The sequence below is a fragment of the Homo sapiens genome, chromosome 2 (assembly GCF_000001405.40).
Source record: "Homo sapiens chromosome 2, GRCh38.p14 Primary Assembly".
Classification (NCBI taxonomy): Eukaryota; Metazoa; Chordata; class Mammalia; order Primates; family Hominidae; genus Homo; species Homo sapiens.
The window spans coordinates 181,121,858-181,141,793 of record NC_000002.12 but is presented as its reverse complement, the minus strand read 5'-3'; the positions used below and the strand labels follow the sequence as shown (position 1 = coordinate 181,141,793).

The 19,936-nt window shown below is 34.5% G+C and overlaps 1 long non-coding RNA gene across 1 annotated transcript in view, besides 1 other annotated feature; it reads right to left on the bottom strand.

Moving 5' to 3' along the window:
* The window catches only part of LINC01934 (long intergenic non-protein coding RNA 1934), a 275,717-nt gene extending 257,760 nt beyond the window's left edge, over nt 1-17,957 (bottom strand). Inside the window, exon 1 of the long non-coding RNA NR_130784.1 lies at nt 17,814-17,957. This is a non-coding gene — a long non-coding RNA (long intergenic non-protein coding RNA 1934). The remainder of the gene's footprint in view (nt 1-17,813) is intronic.
* Nucleotides 17,591-17,690: an enhancer, noted in NCBI's record as "active region_16823". NCBI's record gives its function as "activates an Ori minimal core promoter by ATAC-STARR-seq in GM12878 lymphoblastoid cells {active_cell/tissue: GM12878}" and the evidence as "EXISTENCE:reporter gene assay evidence [ECO:0000049][PMID:35858748]".
* Nucleotides 17,958-19,936: the final 1,979 nt, after the last annotated feature.

The following is a 19,936-nucleotide window of genomic DNA, read 5'->3' as shown; positions in this document are numbered from 1 at the left end:
TTGAAGAGTTTGTCTTCTTTTCCTAAGGACAAAGGAACACCATTAAAGAATTTTAAGCATAGGTATATAGAAGAGAAGAAGGGGTTAATATAATCAAATATGAATTGTTCATGCAAACAACAATTTAGAGGGCGTCAGAGTACCTATGGAGAAACAAGCTGGGAGGTTGTTGCTGGAATTCAAGAAAGAGAAAGTGGAGGATTAGACTGAGCTAGAAATTTTGCTAGTGATGGAGGAAGAGCTTGGTTTTCTGCAAAATATACATTCTTCTCTTTCATTGCCCAGGCACATTTTTTATATAAAGACATTTCCCTTTTAAAACATCTAAAGAGTCAAAGCAAGGGGTAATCGTGGGTAAAAGGATCCCATATGCATTTGAAGTCATGAGGGAACAGTTAAAATGCCAGTTTCTAAATAATCAGTATTATTTTCCTCCAGGTAAAAGACCTTGTTTAGTATTAATATAAAACAACACTGAAAATGAACCAAAGGGAACAATTTTCATTGAAACACATTTTTATTTTGAAAATGTCATAGGTAAACACTCATGTATGAGAAATCAGGTCAAAGAGTAGTAATGCCTTTGACTTCAGGTTGAAAGAAAGGAAAACACATTCAGGAAGTTAAGAGAGTCACAGGCAACAGATCCTACAGTAACAATTGCAAAATAACCAAAGGCATCATCTTTGGAGTGTGCCAAAAGACCTAGTTGTTGCCATAGGAAGAATATGTCCCACGTTTTGGCCACTAAGCAACCATGTTTTATATGCAAAAGTGATATGTATAATAGCCAAGGCACCTTCTTAGTACTTCACAGCAACTGAGCAAATGTAAACATACACAGACACACACACACCTAAAATACATTAAGCTCACAATCTCACAGATGTGAGAAAATAAAAGGAACGGCACAAAACAGACATGCAGAAACATTCATTACAATTTTCTCTAATGTTATCTCTTCCCAAAAAAAAAACAAAAAACAAAAACAAAAAAACATCAAATGAAATCATTGACAGTCTAGTTCTCCCTGAGTAGAAGGGAGACATTAATTTAGATCATCCTGCACATTGAAAAGTTACTGCACTGCAGGGATTTCCAATTACATAATGCAGAATCAGAATTCTGGGTGTCACTTGGCCGCCAGCATCCATGGGTGAGTTGCATAACACTCCTCTGTCATCTAGCTCATGTGAGAAAAGACTTCTGCTGTTCCAAGAAATGGCACTCTTCTTGGAGACCTTCCCAGTTACACAAAAGAGCATAATTTCCACATTATCCTCTGGCATACTGTCTGGGATAAGTCTATGATAGCTTTATGTGTAAATTATATACACAGTTCTGCTAATGACAGGCATACAGACTGCTTTTTGATGGTAGTGGTGCAGAAAAACAAAATCAATTTGTTTTCCAATTTTTATAAAATGACACCTGAGCTATCTATAATAATCAACAGAGACTCTGAGAGTTAGATGGTAGGTAGAGTAATTGCAGTTATTATCTAACAGACAAGTACTGGAGTTGGCAAGCAATGTCAAAAGGGTGCAGACTTACCAACCACCTCATAACTGGCTTCTTTCAGTATTTTCATTTTAAGTCGTTCAAACTTTTAATTTCATACTTATCTCAGCTTTTCATCAGAGACTGCACTCTTTTGCATGGTGGTTTAATTTTCTACATATGAAAGAACACTTGCAAAAGGGAGACAAAAAAGTAAGGGAAAATGAATATTTCATATACTTATTGTCTCTTTGATGCCAAAATTCCATATGTAGTGCATACTGTTTGCCGGATATGAAGGATAATTTGGAGGATAAGACAGTGTTCTTTTCTGTAGAAACTCACAATTCTCTCATTAACAAGTCTAAAACAGGAAAACTTTTGTATCCTGGCTATCAGCATTATTTGGAAAGTTTCTTTTTAGTTTATTAAATTCAACAATTTTAAACTAAATAAAAATGGAAACTAGAAAATAGATGTAGTTATTATAATATTCAATATTTCTTAAGCATTTGCTTTGTATACAAGTTTTGCATATATCCTTATATTACCACTAGATTTTAATCTTCATTTTAAAGATGAAGAAATTGAGGCTCACACAACTTAAGCAAGTTTCACATTACAAATCTGATAAACACAGCCTGAATTTAAATTACTGTTGTCTCATGCCATGGTCCTCTCTCATTCATTTCTCTATATTGCTCCATTTTAACATTTGCTGTAATCTCAACATTAAGGCATTAGTGCCTCAAGTTTGTTTGTTTATTTAATTCTATTGCTTGACTTGAAAAATTTGCTTCAATCTATTGTCTTTTCCTCTTTTCATGAGGATGCTATTGAGGAAGTTTCTGAATGATTCCATTGTAGTTGAAAACATAACTATGTGGCTCTCTCAAACTATTCTCCTAATGAGTTAACACTAAAATTTATGTATTGAGCATCTGCTATATGCCAAGCACTGTGCTAGATGCTTTATGAATAAAGATGTGGTCTTTGCCCTATACCTGCAGGAAAACCAGAATCAAATAATAAATAAAATAAAGGTCTAATAAGTGACATGGTAAGAAGAGTACAGGGTGCTCGGGAAGCATCTGCCAGCAGAAGACTCAGCCCAGACCTCCTGTAGGAAGTGGAATTGGAACTGCTACTTAAAACTTGAGGAGGACGTGGGCTAGTTTTAATCTTTACTTTTCTCACGTTGGCCTCACCTCCCAGAATTTGGCTTCTATCCATATATTCAACTGAATTTCCATTCTCCACAGCCTCCAACCATCACCTAATTTCCAAATGCAATGACTCATCATGTGGCAATATACACTGTCCACCAACTGCAGCTTCTTGAGACTTTTCTTCCCTGGATAGCCCTACTTCATATCTGTTTTTCCTCCCTCTATTCCTGACCATCTGCATTCACTTTCTGTCTCCTTACTCTTGCTGTTCCTGTTCACACTTCTTACCTGAAATTGTCCTCAAGTCTACTCTTCTCTGACTTTTTCTATTTTCTCCTAAACTCTCTCTCTCTTTTAAACTCATGATTTAAATGATTTTCTTTTTGTAAAATTTTTATTTATTCAATTTTTATCTCAGTCCTGCTCCTTCTGTATTAGGTGATTTTATTGTTTTTCATTTTTATGCTTATTTCCCTCTTATAGCATAAGGAGATTCATATATATTTGCACAAAAGATACAGTGTATATTGTATATATATATTCTATATATAATGACATAAAACCAAATTGTAAATTCAGTTTAAAAATGTTTAAAATTATAATTTTATCTTTAAAATTTTTAGTAAGTTATATGATTCATTTGTGTATCATATATGGAATTAACATATGCCAGAATGAAAAAAAAAAGAGAGATTATCTGTGCTTGGAAAGAACAAGAGAGAGGGAATTACAAGGAATAAATAAGGGTTCATGCCTAAAATACCGTTGTCCTCCCTTCCACTCAGATTTACCTTTTGCATTGTCAAGGGACAGAGACATAAATCTCTTTGACTAGATAATTAAGGGCGGGGAATCAGTGGCACTTTTTCCCACAATTATTAAAATTGAAGGAAATACTGTAATTTCATCAGATAATATACTTCATGTGGAAACTTCTATGGCTTTCCAATAGCCTAACCAGTTGAAAATATCAGAAAAGTGAATGAAACACTAGATTGAATGGGATAAAGTTAAAAACAAAATGTTTATATTCTCACAATGATAAAGAAACAAGGTTTTCATGAAGTTAGTTGAATTTATTACCATTTCTTATTTTGATATGCCTATTGTCCTAGCTTGGCCAGTAGGAACTCTTTTATGCTGGCTTCTGTGTATTTGAGTATGTCCCATTTACTCATTGAGTACTTTCTTACATTCTGTCACCAGAAGGCTCAAGGTGTACATTCTCTTCCCAAACTCTGGGATTAGCTATTTCTCCAAGCATCTCTGTTTTCTTGTATGGAGGATGGCATTTATAAACAAACATCTGGGTGATAGATGTATTTATTGCTACTGGGATATCAATGTTTCCAGGTTCTCCCAGTGAAAGGAGCTAGAGAATATATGCATACATACATTTACACCTATTTGTATTTTTGCATATGTCAGTATATATTGAAAACCTTGACTTTACATTTATACTTCCAATTTTAATCCAACACCATGAAGTTCCTTCTAGTGTCCTCCTTTTCCATATGGATATCATATGGATAGTAAAAAACCTGGCTCTCAATATCTTCAGTATATGTACTAATCCGATCTCCCTTACATGTAAAATCTTTCAGCACCATGCCTGGCTACTTCTGCCCTCAAAATGAATATCTTCTTAAACCTTTCACAGCCCACAATTGTGTTCTAGGCTGTCCATCGTCATCTTTTCCTCTACACAGCCAACCTACTAAACTCGTGTGGGCTCTAACCTCATAATACCATGCATCAGGTTGAGCCACTATATTCCCATCATCCATTATGGACCCCTACCTCACTTGGAAGGAAGAGAAGAAAGAGTAAAGGAGAGAAAGAGGATTTTCTCTATAGGCAGAATATATTGCATGAGTTTCTGATGGGCTGTTAACACCCATAACCTCAGTGTTCTCATTTAATGTACAAAGATGGCAAATTTAGGAAGCATATACAATCTTAAGTCACATCAAATCATACCATTTCCTTTTTATAGTAACTTAAGCAAATGTGGCAAAATACAGATACATCTATTCATTTCCAGCTTTGATGTCTTTTTTCAACTAAGAAAGTAGAAGCCATGCCTTTATACTGCATGGCTACCATACCGCTCAACTTGTCACTAATGTGAGTATGCCTAGGTATAGTCGGTTGAAATCCCCCTTGGGCAACAAGTCACATCAGTGTGAATAAGGAATAAGCCCGTGTTACTTTTGATCTTGTCAGTGCCGTCTGGTCTCCATTGAGAGAAGGAAAGGGCCGAGAACTTAGATCATAAACTTTGACAAACCAGTTGCTATGTGGAATTCCAGATATTAAACTGTGCCACATTTTTAAAGGATTGTAGAGAGGTTAATCCCTGAACCCACATTCCAACAGACAGGTAACCATGTAGCAGTAAGCAAACAAAAAATCAGCCCAAAGGCTGATGTTAATTTAATGGCTGTACTTTTATGACTTCTAAATGTTCTTGGAGAGCTAGACTCATCATTAGCTGGCTAATATTAACTACGAAATATTTGGCAACTCACAGAATCTTGACACACACACATATATGTATATAAATATACTATTTTAGTTACTATAGCTTCATAATATAATTTGAAGTCAGAAAGTGTGATGCCTTCAGCTTTGTTCTTTTTTATCATGATTGCTTTAACTATTTCAGGGTCTTTTGTGATTCTATACAAATTTGGGGATTGTTTCCCTACTTCTGTGAAGAATGTCATTGTTATTTTAATAGGAGTCACATTAAATCTGTAGATCATTTTGGGTAGTATGGACTTTCTAACAACATTAATTCTTGGAATCCTTTATCATGGCTATCTTTTTGTTTTTTATACAGATGTGTCCTCTTGCATTTTTTTCATCAGTGTTTTATAATTTTTCATGTAGAGATCTTTCACTTCCTTGGCTAAATTTATTCTTAGGGGTTTTTCATAGTTATTGTAAATGGAATTGCTTTCTTGATTACTTTTTCAAATTGATTGCTGTTAGTATATAGAAATGTTACTGATTTTTGTATGTTGATTTTATGTCCTGCAATTTTCATGAATTTATTTCTCAGTTCTAAGAGTTTTTTGGTGGAATCTTTAGGTTTTATAACATATAAGATCACGTTATCTGCAAACAAGGACAGTTTGACTTCTTCCTTTCCTATTCAGATACCATTTATTTCTTTACCTTGCCTAACTGCTCTGTCGAGGACTTCTAGAACTATGTTGAATAAAAGTGGTAAAAGAAGTCATCCTTTTCTTGTTCCAGATGTTAGTAGAACAACTTTTAATTTTTATCTGTTCAGTATGATATTAACTGTGAGTTCATCAAATATGTCTTTATCATTTTGAGGTATGATCCTTCCACACAAAATTTGTTGAAAGTTTTTATCACGAAGGGATATTAAATTTCACTGAATGCTTTTTCAGCGTTTATTAAAATGATCAGATAGTTTTTGTCCTTGATTCTGTTGACACGATATCTTATATTTATTATTTTGCATCTATTGAACCATCCTTGCATCTTTGGGATGAATCCCACTTGATCATGGCGAGTGATCTATTTCATGTGCTGTTAAATACAGTTTGCTAATATTTCATTGAGGATAAATCTTTAAGGTAATATATGAAGGGATCAAGTTATTTCTAAGTAACTGAACTATACCCTAGAACAAAGTTCAGTAATATATATATAGGAATACAAAAATACCAGCACCCAACAAGGTAAAATTCACAGTGCCTAGCAGCCAATCAAACATTACCAGAGCTTGGGAAACAAAGTAAGATCCTGCCCTAAAAAAAATTAAAAAAAAAAAAAATTAGTTAAGCTTGGTGACGCATGCCTGTAGTCCCAGCTACTCTGGAGGCTGTGGTAGGAGTGCAATTTGAACCCAGGGAGTTAAGGCTGCAGTGCACCATGATGTGCCATTGCACTCCAGCCTGGGTGACAGAGTAAGACCTTGTCTCAAAAAAAAAAACCAGTCATGGAAAGAAGTAGGAAAATATGACCTATTCTAAGTATTAAATTTTGAAAAAAGAAAGAATTAAAATGAATCAACTGAAACCAATCCAGAAATGATACAAATGTTACAATTAGCAGACAAGGATATTTTCCATATTTTAAAAAATTCAAGTAGAGACATAGAAGAAGATATATTAAAAAAAAAAAAACTTCTAGAAATAAACAATACAATGTCCGGGATAAAAAATACAATGAAATGTATGAATAGCAGATTAGTCATCACAGAAAAAAAGATTTAGTGTGCCTGAAGACATGGCATTAGAAACTATCAAAATGAAAAACTGAAATAAAGATAATTGAAAAATAGAGTTTCTCTGAGATACAAAATTCATCTAAAATGCGAAGACATAGACAAGTCAAAACAACTTCCAAGGCCAGGCGCAATGGCTCACGCTTGTAATCCCAGGCGTGGGAGGCTGAGGCAGGCAGATCACGAGGTCAGGAGATCGAGACCACCCTGGCTAACACGGTGAAACACCATCTCTACTATAAATACAAAAAAAATTAGCCGGGGCGCCTGTAGTCCCAGCCACTCGGGAGACTGAGGCCGGAGAATGGCATGAACCCAGGAGGCGAAGCTTGCAGTGAGCTGAGATCGCACCACTGCACTCCAGCCTGGGCTACAGAGCGAGACTCCATCTCAAAAAAAAAAAAAAAAAAAAAAAATTCAAAAAAGAAAATAGTTGGAACACTAATACTACCTAATTTCAAGATGGATATAATTTATAGTAATCAAAGCAGCATAGTTTTGACATCAAAATACCCAAATAGATAAATGGAATAGAACAGAGTGTACAGAAATAGGCCTACATATACATAGACAACTGCTGTTTTGGCAAAGGTCAAAAGGCAATTCAATTGAGAAAGAATAGTTTTTCAAAAAATGGTTTTGGAACAATTATATATCCATATGTGGGAAAATAAACTGATCTATACCTCATACCATACATGAAAATTAATTTAAAATGGATTGTAGGCCTAAATGCAGAGCATAAAACTATAAAACTTCTGTAAGAAAATATAGAGAAAATCTTTTTGACCCTGGTTTAGACAAACAATTTTTAAATATTACACCAAAGCATGATACAGCAAACAGAAAATTGGTAAATTGTACTTCAGCAAAATTGAATATGCCTGCTCTTTTAAAGACACGGTTAAGCAAATAAACGAACAGGCCACAGACTGGAAGAAAATATTTACAAAGTATATATCTGCCAAAGAACTTGTATCTCCCCAAAAAAACTATATTACATATTCTCAAAACTCAATATTAGGAAACAACCAACCCAATTTAAAAACAGGGAGATGATTTGAGCAAATACTTCTCCAAAAATGAATACAGATAGCAAATAAGCACAGGTAAGATACTCAACATCATTTGTTATTAGGGATATATAAATTAAAACCAGAACACTAACAGTACACACTTATTAGAATTAAAATTACAGTACTGACCATACCAAGTGTTGCAAGGATGGAGGACAGCTAGAGATTTCATAAACTGGTAGTGAGAATGAAAAAACACTACAACCATATTAAAAAACAGTTTGACAGCTTCCTAAAAATGTAAACATACACCTACCATATGATCCAGCCATTCCAGTTCTAGGTATTTACCCCAGAGAAATCAAAACATATGTCCATACAAAGGCTTGTATGCAAATGTTCATAGCAGCTTTATTTGTAATAGCCCCAAACTGGAAACAACTCAAATGCCCACCAACAGATGAATGAGTAAACGAATTGTGTGGTGTAGTCATACAATAAGATATTACTACTTAGCAGTAAAAACGAATGAATTACATTCAACAACACATGCGACAACATGGATGAATCTCAGAATAATTGGGTTGAATAAAAAAAGCCATAAACAGAATGATTAAAATACTATTTCAAATGGCTGTTTAATATTCTATCTTTGTATTTTGTAGTTTGTAATATTAAAGCTATAGATAGCCTTGAAACCTTCAAAATACTATGAAAATATTTCATTCATTTATCAAATTATTCCATTTTTATAAAATTCTAGAATATGTAAACTAGTGTATACGGAAAGCAGATTTTTGGATGCCTAGGGACTCATGAGGGGGCAGGGGAATGGGAGGAATTACAAAAGCCATGGGGAAACTTATGGGGTGATCATTATGTTCACTCTTTTGTTTGTAGTGATGGTTTTATGGGTGAATACATATGTCAAAACTTACCAAGTTGTACACTTTAAATATGTGCAGTTTATTATATGTCAATGACTCTTCAGTTAAGCTGTTAGAAGGAAAAGAAGGCAGAGAAGCAGGAGGAAGCAGAACAGGAGGAGGTGGTGGATAGGAAGGAGGAGGAAGTTGATACGTAAGTTTAGAGAAGAGGGGTTTGCTAGAAATATAAATTTGGTAGTCATCAATGTATAGATGGTACTTCAAATCCTGGGAATGAATGAAATCACCTAGGACAGATTAGTCAGAAAAGACAGGTGACCTAGGATACTGCCTTAAGAGAACACCAAAATGTAGAAGTTTAGGATGAAGCGGGTCATAGCAAACTGTTCCGTTTTTTTTTTTAGGTTGTTCAAATACAATATCAAGTGAAGCATCTAATAATTTTGTTTACTACAGGCTGAACCAGTAGGTCTACAGATCCATTCACAATAGTTTGTAACTTGACTATTTTTGTGAATTTTCATACTTGTTTCTATTCATAAGTTCAGTATATTTACAATTATTATTGATTCAAATTTATAGGAGATGTCCTTCCCCCCCCCCCAGTGTTAGTATTTATAAAAGTTCCATTCAAAATTCTCTATAATAGTGAAAATATTTCTTGGATTTCTATGAAATATGCTAGCATATTCTGAAGATACAATGGGTTCTAACTCAACGTTAAACTAACAGCATTATAGATGGCATATGTCATCAATAGAACATAAAATATTAAATATTCACAGAAATAAAGATGTGGAAATTTGTCATTTTAATTATTATTTATTAAACATGTGCCAGTATATCCTAAATTAACCTTGTGAGAGTTTAAAAGTGAGTACAATTTAAGCTTAGTGTAAATTCTTTCAAGTGGCTAAATTAATTTTGTCTGTTTATTTCTATTATGTCATCTTAAAGCTATAGCCCTGAAACCTTCTAAATAATACAGAAACATTTCAGATTAAATCCATGTATTTATATCAGAAATGGAATTCTGTTTTCAAAAACCAAAAAATCAAATGCATCTCTTGCCTCAATCTTCCTTCCTGCTCAGAATATGCACTCTGTCTCTTTCAGCTTTTCTGCCAATACTTCGAAGAGTCACTATGCTCACTGGCTCCACATCCCATTCCTTGCAGCCACGTCAGTCTTCTAAGACTGCTCTCTAAAAGGCCACCATGAGTTCTCAGTGGTTAGCATCCCTAAACCCTCTTCTGTTCTCCAGCTACTTGAGCTTGCTGCAACAATGGATGCTGAGGATGGCTCCATTCTTTTCACAATTCCCCTTTTTTTGGTCATCTGAAATGTTACCTCATCTTACTTTGCAGACTATCTCTTTTCAGTTTCTGAGTTTTTCTTCTCAGTTTAAATTGTGAATTTTCATGGTTTCATTTTCTACTCCTTTTCTTCTCTTAACTTCTTCCTGGATAGTCTTATCTCCATACATATTTTTAGCTCCCACCTCCTTCCTTAATTATTTGTATTTTCATGAAATAAAGACTATTTTCCCTCTTGGAGCCAAAGCACCCTTGCCTACCTCAGTTTCTTGGCTAACTCCAACTGGACTTGGAAGACTCAGTTCAACAAAATATGTAACTGTTAACAGCTTAGAAGTCATATCTATTCAACAATAAACAAGTCTGTTAGCAAAAAATAAAACTTACTAAACAAAATGACAATCAGACAGTTCATTCCAATTTTTGACAAATTTACTTGAGGGGTAGTTTTCAGAAAAACAAACAAATATACAAACTGGTAGTTGTCAGACAGTGGCTACTATATAAAAGCTGTGAGTAAAGGCATTGGAGAGCAAAATAAAGGAAAAGGTATGAACTCACTTTGCCTGCAGCTGGGACTCATTTTACATTAATCTTATATTGAACATGCTCTTTAGCTGAAAGTAAACAAAAGTAAATTAAGGTGAAATTTGCAACCAGAGCATACTGCACTATGCTGAAACTTAGAGAAGCTCTGTTTGTAGTATTTGTGATGCTTCACTGTTGTAGATGAAACAGACTTAAAGTGCTGACGCTGAGTTATGAAATCTCTTGGACAAGGTCCGAGATATTCCTATAATGAGGTCCATCTTAGTGGTTAAGGAACCCAGAGGTTTTGGAAAAGCTTTATTCCTAATGGAAGAACATGTCTTATTTTCACAAAGCAACAATAACAAATTTATCTAAATTTTTAATATAATTATTCACTGAACAATTTTTTCATCTAAATCGCAGTTTATGATCAATAAAGCATGTAAAATTTGCATCTATTGGTTATTATATATAGTCACTAAAATTAGCCTGCACCAAGTAATCATTGTTTTTATTTCTGAGAAATATTTTCTTTGCATTTTCTAAACAAAATTTTAGTGCTTATATCTGTCATAATCTGAAATTTCATATAAACCTCAATTTTTACATTTCTATCAATATATTACATGTTTGCATTTGATTTAAAAAACTATGTGTGTGCTTATGGAGAAAGAGACAGAGATAAGGACAGAGAGAAAGAATACAAAAGAGAATGGGGTTAATAGATAATATATAAATTTAAAAATATTCAAGTTAATTTTTTATATGAGATAACTAATGTGTGGATCATAAAATGAAATATTAGAAATTTTGCTACACATAATAAATTTTAAATTATAAAATTTAAAATATGCTTATTTTAAAGATTTCCATATTCATGTATGAAAACATTAGTATACTGTTCATTATGTTTTCCATAGCATGCCTGCTTTTCTTGAGTTCTGTGATCATTTTTACATCTGAATCCTGTGAAAACATTTATCAAGCTCTCTAAATAAAAATTATTTTTATAACTATTCCTCTCTCAGCATTTCTTCTTATTTATACAGTAACAGATAACATTATGATGTAGGATTTTTCTTCTTAGTCACTTTGCAAGCCGGGACCTCTGGCTGGCGACACCCTGCCCAGATCCCACTAGGCCATGCTGGTGTGTCCCAGCTCACTTGTGTTATAGTTTGTACCCACATTCGGTGGTTCCCCAGCTCTTGTACTGCACCCAGGAAAATGAGGATATGCTGGACACCGAAGAGTGAGGAGGACAGAGAAGAATTTTATTGAGCAATGAAACAGCTTTCAGTGGAGAGGGGATGTGGGGGTGGCCCTCCTACCCAAAGGCAGGAAATTTCCTTGTGTGACTTGGTCCAAGGCCTTTTATGGGTTGAGAATGGGGAATGCATACTAATTGGTTTGTGAGTATGCAAAAAAGGTTAAAGTGAAAATACCACTCAAAGGTGGGCAGGACAGTGTAGAAAACCAATTAGGAAAGGGTAGGTATATGTAAAATAGGTGATTGGGGGGATGAATCAGAGGAATGTGCCAAACAGGAAGAGGTGTTCTCAACCTGGTCCAAGGATTTAATTTGTAGCTTGGCTATCAGGCTTTAAACTGTCTTTGACTTGGAGGTGGGGTTTAACCAAAAACACAGCCCTATCTGCCTAGGCATTTGGCTGCCTCCTGCCACTCTCAGTCAGTACATATGTACATTTAAGAAATAAAGACATTGTATTTTGTATTATTTGATGGAGCTTTACTAGAAATAAATTATATGCATTCTGTTTTAACATGAGAACAGAAAATTATAAATCTTAGTGGAGAGACTACAAGTATAGGGTAGGTAGGTCAATGACATTTATAAAGAACATTATCTTTTTAAATTTTTTTATTTTTATTATTATACTTTAAGTTCTAGGGTACATGTGCAGGTTTGTTACATAGGTATACATGTGCCATGTTGGTTTGCTGCACCCATCAACTCATCATTTACATTAGGTATTTCTCCTAACGCTATCCCTCTCCCAGCCCCCCACCCCCCAACAGGCTCCAGTGTGTGATGTTCCTCATCCTGTGTCCATGTTTTCTCATTGTTCAACTCCCACTTATGAGTGAGAACATGTGGTGTTTGGTTTTCTGTCCTTGTGATAGTTTGCTGAGAATGATGGTTTCCAGCTTCATCCATGTCCCTACAAAGGACATGAACTCATCCATTTTTATGGCTGCATAGTATTCCATGGTGTATATGTGCCATATTTTCTTTTTTATTATTATTATACTTTAAGTTTTAGGGTACATGTGCACAACGTGCAGGTTTGTTACATATGTATACATGATCTTAAACAACTGTCCATTAACAAGCCAACAACTGTCCATTAACAAGCCCCTGAGCATACTGCTTGGCGGACACATTTAAAATACAGAGAAGAGCCTGCTAAGACCTTGATTTCAATTACTCTGAAGTTTCTTGTGGGGTAACCTTAGATGTCCATGAGGAAAGGCCATTGTAGTTAGTACATTTTTTATGACTAATAAGATTGAAGTACATTATCTAGTTGAGTTTTAGGTTTCAAGAGTTTAAAAAGGGTAAAGATGTTAAACTTTACTACTAAGCAAAACCCTGGAGTACTAGAGATTCCTCTCTGTAGAAACCTGTCTTGTCAAAAGTTTTTGAGTTGCTGTCTAATATCTATACTTACTTTTATCAGAACATAACTGAAATTACTGTTGCATATTAATAGTGAAAGCAAGCTTCTCAGCTAATCAACAGATGCAAACTTCCCCCATGGTTCTAATAATGTGGGCTTTCAGAATAGTTTTATGATTCAAGAAGTCTAGCTCATTAATTTTGAAAAGGACACTGCAAAACATACACAAACAAAAAACATTTTGCAGAAGAGTTAACTTAAAGGAACAAAAGGAGAAAGCTCATCATGAGTCTGGTGGACTGCTCTTTATGCAAAAGGAGTATTTGTACTTCTTTATTTTCATGTTTCCTTTGAGTTCTGCTGGTTCAGGTTCACATAATCAAAAGACTTCTATCCTAAACAAGTGATTGTCACTGTCCAGCATTTAACACAATAGCAAACAATTACAAACTGCTACAATTTGTTGCTGTTTCATGATTTTTAAGCATGCATGTGAGAAAGTTAGAATTGCTACATCGCATTAGTCCATCACTCCCGACTTCTTTTCACATTATATATATTTGAGAAAAGAAAAGAATTTGGTTTTATAAATATGTTGATGGAAGAAACTGCTCAAGGAAAAGCTCAGAAAAATACTCTTCAGATTTTTTTGCCCAACAGCATGGCTTAAACATATTTTTTTTCCTCACTCAGAAAAATTACTTTTTAAACTAATTTTCTAATGGCTTATGACATGAAGTGATCTAATTTCTTTCTTTTTTTTTTTTTTTGAGATGGAGTTTCACAGTTGTTGCCCAGGCTGGAGGGCAATGCTGTGATCTTGGCTCACCGCAACCTCCGTCTCCTGGGTTTAAGCAATTCTCCTGCCTCAGCCTCCCGAGTAGCTGGGATTACGGGCACACGCCACCACCCCGGCTAATTTTTTTGTATTTTTAGTAAAGACGGGGTTTCTCCATGTTGGTCAGGCTAGTCTTGAACTCCTGACCTCAGGTGATCCACCTGCCTCGGCCTCCAAAAGTGCTGGGATTACAGGTGTGAGCCACTGCGCCTGGCCTGATCTAGTTTCTTATTGTACTAGAATAATCGTTAATGTTCTTCACAAGTAATACCATTGATGTTCATCTTTAAAACAGTAATAAGCTGGAAACCCTATAAGGATATAAGTAACACACTTGTGAATTAGCAAAACTTTTGTATCTTCTCAAATGAAAATCACTACAAAATCTTTATCTTGTCTCAGCTTGAGTTTAGAACTAACATTCCTAAATTATTCTGTTTAAAGTAAGAACAGATAGGTGCCTGAATATTGCAATCCAATGTTAATGAAAAAAGTACACACCCTTCCAGCTCCTCCTTAGAGCTGGTGGAAAATACAATCAAACTAACGAACATAAATTTTCAAATGACTGAAAGCCATGATAAATGGGATATAGTCTTACTCTAAAATATGGGGTTTCTCATCATTAATTATATTCTTAATTATCAAATCTAATATTTTGCTTCTGCCTTCTTGCATTTCTAAGACAGTGCCACTTTATTTTCAAAACATTTACTGTTTCTAACTTGAGAATGTTTCCGTAACTTTCTATCGGGGGCTGTGCAGAGTTCTCTTTATGTATGTGAAGCACATTATCGTTGAATAAATATCATTATTCTCCCAATCACACTTCCCCAGCTCAGTAGTTTTATGGGCCCCAGTGAACCACAAAAGCCTAAATTGTCTAGAATCAATTTCATAGTTTTTCCTCAAAACCCCCCAAAAAGTGATCAGCAACAGCTGTAAGAACATCAAGGACTCATTGCATGAGAAACACGAGCAAAACACATCAGTAAGAGACAAATGCCTTTTTTCAAGGAATGCAAAGAGGTTCTAAGTAGTAGTCAAAGACAAGACAAGTTGACTGCCTGGAACTTGTACTTCAGCATGGAAGCACTGAGCACCAACACGGAATTCCGAAGGAGAGTAATTAAGGGAGGCCAAGACAGCAACCATGGGTCAGAGTTTGACACTAAGTCACAGTGTGGGTGGCAAGGGGAGAAAGATATGACTGAAGTTGCTCTGAAGTGTATTTAGCAAAAGCAAGTGAAGCTGTATCCCAAATTGGCAATCATTTTACATATTTCAGCCAACTTTGAGCCCTCTAGTCTCCGTTTCCATACCCTGTTCAACAAAATCACACTGCACAATTTCCCTACAAAGCTAATGCTTATGACCTGGTGAATATCCTACTATATGAATCATTCTTATGTGATGATAGATAGATTAAATAGATGGATAGATACATATATATGTAGATCACTGCTCAGGGTCCTATTATACAAACTTTTCTGCACCTCCACTTCTTCCTTAATAATAAACTTTGAAACTCCCTGGATGACATTGATCTAATTCTATTCTTCTTGATGACTTCATCATATTATTGATATGCCACAATTTATCTAACCATTCTCTTACCAAAGGATATTCTATTTGCTTTATCTTTTCGTTCATTTGCTACCACAAATTATTCATGCAACAAGTCTTAATACACTCTATGCGCCTGTTCAACTCCAGGAATAGAGCAATGAACAAAACAAAGTTCCCACTTTCCTAAAGAATCCATTCTAGTGGAGGGGACAGGCACTAATTTAATATGTAACATAATGTTATATTTTTATGAAGCTAAACAAGGGGATACAAAGTTACAGGAAATTTCTTATTACTTTAAATGGGGTAGCCAGGGAAGAGCTCTCTGAGGAGGTATTTGATCAGAAACCTGAATGACTTGAGGGAGTAAGCCATGAGGCCTGTTAAGAGAGGAGCAATCCAGTCAGAAGGAACAGCAAGCAGCAAGCACCCGAGTTCTGAGGGAGAGATACTCAGCGAGACTGGGAACACTTGTGAATGCCACTACAGTAAATGCAGAGTGACAGAAGGGCAGGAAAAGGGACCAGACATATATCTTGCCCAAGGTCCAGGTGATGCAGTGCCTGGTAGGCTATAGAAGGAACTTCAGCAAATGCCACAATAAATATCCACATATATTGCTAGATTCATCTCCAAAAAGGCTATCAGAACTCACATTTCTATGAGCAGTCTACAAACATAGGCAGCCAGGTTCCAAAGTCTATGCAGCAGCTGTTTGTCAGCCGTTTCAGTTTGCTTTTAAAAAACATTTATCTATAACTTGAAAAAGTATTAGGAGAGTGAAATATCTGTATATAAAAGCTACACAAATGCAAATATTCTTGTTAGTTTATCACATCTGTCAAACCCAGAAAGCTCTGTATATTAGACCCATCAGTGGGAAACCAGACAGTTTCACAGTGAAAAAAAATCTCCATCTGAGAAAAATAAAATAAAATTCTGGTATAATCTCTGGTCCAGTTACCTCTGGAGAAATAGTTGACAGGACTAGAACTGGGGACTACAAATTGGCAGTGGCCACACACAGCTATAGGACAGAATAAGTTGCTAAGAGGCCTAACATGTATCATCATGAGATAGAATTTTCTAGGTTGGAAGGAAATGGTCTTTTTAATATGCCAAAATGTTGACTTTCAACTATAATCATAATAAAGCAATTTATATCAATAAAAATACATAAAATGGGTAAAAATAAAAGCTAAAGGAACTTGTTTTAGTTATTATTGTCCAATCTTTTCTTAAAACCTCTGGTTTCATCTTCTTCCACTGACATCTTACATTCTGTGAAGGAGGAAGTAGGGGGGATGGAAACGGCTTTAAAGAAGCACAAAAGGCCTGAAGGTCAATAGGGAGGCAAATACTCAAAGAATGAGAACCGCAGATATCTAATAAAGTCTATGTTGCCTTTTCATGCAAAAGGCATAAGGAATGCTTAATCATCTAATATTTACAATGTAGGAAAAAGCTATTTCACGTTGAAATTTGTAGCATTTTTGGGTGATTATGAAACCCTCATTTAAAATAGCCATGTATCCTCTATTTAGCAAACCAAGACTACAAGAAATCTTAGACATGATATTAATACCCCAAAGTTTAAAACTCCAGATGTGAAGAAAAGCCAGAGAATGCCTGCTGTGTAATAAGGCCTATATCTCTTTGGAATCATGGATTTAATTAAGTTTCAATTTGCATCTTGGGCAAAAAGATAGACTGTTAGAATGAAACAAAAAGAAAGAGGGAAAAAGCCTTCTAAAAAACAAAGTGTCAATAAAATTTTAGTTATATTCTCTAGCCATCATTTGGCTTTTAAAATTCTGATAACATTCCCTCAAAAAACAAAGCATTTCCTTTTGTCTAGACAACATAACCTGCTTCTGTCTCAGATAGGCCACTTGGGAACCCAGGATCTGACTCATTTCCCTCACACCATATATGATTCCATATAAAACAGGGCTATATGTCCCTTCCACAGCCCAAATAGGGATCCCCAAAAGGCGGTGCTTCCTATCATTCTTGGGCCAATGTTTTCACCAAGTTCTGTTTGAAAATGTATTTGTTCCTGTTTTCTTTGCACTTACCTTGTGAGGTCTCATCTCCATGACATCTGACAGTGGCTTTGGGTGTTGCCTAAAGAGAAAGCAGCAAGCAACAGTTACAGAGGTGGTTTCCTGTGGAGCAGGCAACTTAACACAGCTAAGTTCAGGTCATTCTCTGAATACTAAAACTGAGAAGTCAACGATAGTGTAATATCAGATAGCTAAATGTTTTCACTATACCCACACATGTAGTAAAGAATTTAGGCTGCTGAATTTTCTTTAACTACAGGGTTCTGCTTTTCAAAAAAAATGTTTTCAACTTACAAAGACTTTTATAACAGACTGCCTTTTTGAGAAAGGAAAGCCTTCTTTCTTTATATTATCCAGGAACCATTATACGCATCCCATAGAATGTATTGCTGATACTTCTTAGAAGTATCTTCAGAAAAGGGTCTTATCTTATATTTATTATCTTATATTTATTTATATATTTATTATATTATATTATATGTTATATATAAATATATTATATATTTATATAATTATATATTATATATTTATATATAAATAAATATATTATATTATATATTATATAAATATTTATATTTATATATAATGTATATAATATTATTATATATTATATATATTTATTATATATATAATTAATATATAATAAAATTATATATTATATATATTTATTATATATATAATTAATATATAATAAAATTATATATTATATATAAATATATTATATATTTATATAATTATAAATTATATATTATATATAAATAAATATATTATATTATATATTATATATAAATAAATATTTGTATTTATTTATATATAATATATAAAATATTTATATATTATAAATAAATATAAGATATAAAATACCAGTAAAATGTGTTCCTAGGAGTTGAATATATGCATGCATATGGCATTTGCTTGTTTGTTCATTGATTCATTTATTCATTCAATGAATTTACTGAACATATATTGAGTTTCTCTTTTTTGTGCCCTGAGGATATAACCACAAATAAGACATAATCTCTGTCCTCAATAAGTTCATAAAATCTTATGATTTTATGGGAAATCACAAGATGGGAAAAGAAAACTGGACAAATAATTATGAATATTATGTGAGAATTACAACAATAGGAATTTATATAGAATACATTGGGCCTCAAGTGGGGAAACGGGCATTCTAATTAGCGTAAAAGAGCTGATCAAAGGAGTTGATTCTTGAACTGTGGTAAAGAATATTGTGTGGTCATTTTTCATGCAAGGAAGTGCATTCCCAGCTGGGAGTCTAGCATATTCAAAGATCCAGAGGCACAAAACAATATAGCACTTTCTGGTAACTGTAGCTAGTTCTATATTGATAGAGTGTAGAGGACTCTAAAAAGGAATAAGACTGAGATATTAGCAAAATGATTTTTAACATCAGGAGGCATTTCTTTCAGAGAACAAAAATAAATAACAAGTATATCCATGAAATACTTCTTGAGAAATATTTTGGTTAAAGATTGAACACTTTGAAGAACAATTAAGTATGAAGCACTTCAATACTTTGGCTCATGTCTGAAAAATACATAGATATTGCATATTTTCACAATGGCAAATATTCAGACTAAGTGCTAACACATGAAGCTGAACTAGATTATAAAATACTAATCTCTTTTGAGGAAACTATATTTTTATGTATCAGAATGGCTTAGAGCCAATAGAAAATTACAGCCTGTATAATAGTGTCTGGCACAGAGTAGGCTCTCAACAAATAGGTGTTGATGGAAATACCACATTGAGGCAGCTTTTGGCAAACAAAGAAATGCTTTGGGCACCAACCCAGGCTCTCCAGCTTAAAACTGTTACTGCTCCTTCTGCAATTAGAGACTTTTTCCCTTGTGATTCATAGAGTTGCATTCATTATATCTCTTTTTGGTCTCTGCTCCTAACTAACCTTCCTCCTAGCTCACACCTACCTAGAGATACCTGAAAATGTTTTCTCTAGGTATGTCTGGGCAGGTTCGAAGGATATAGCTATTATATCATTGGCCTTGGACATACAAACCAAAGAGGCACAGTTGCAGTTGCCAATATTGGTGGCAATTCAAAATGCTCAAATAAAAGGGGAAAAGCAAGAGATCCATGGACAACCACAATAA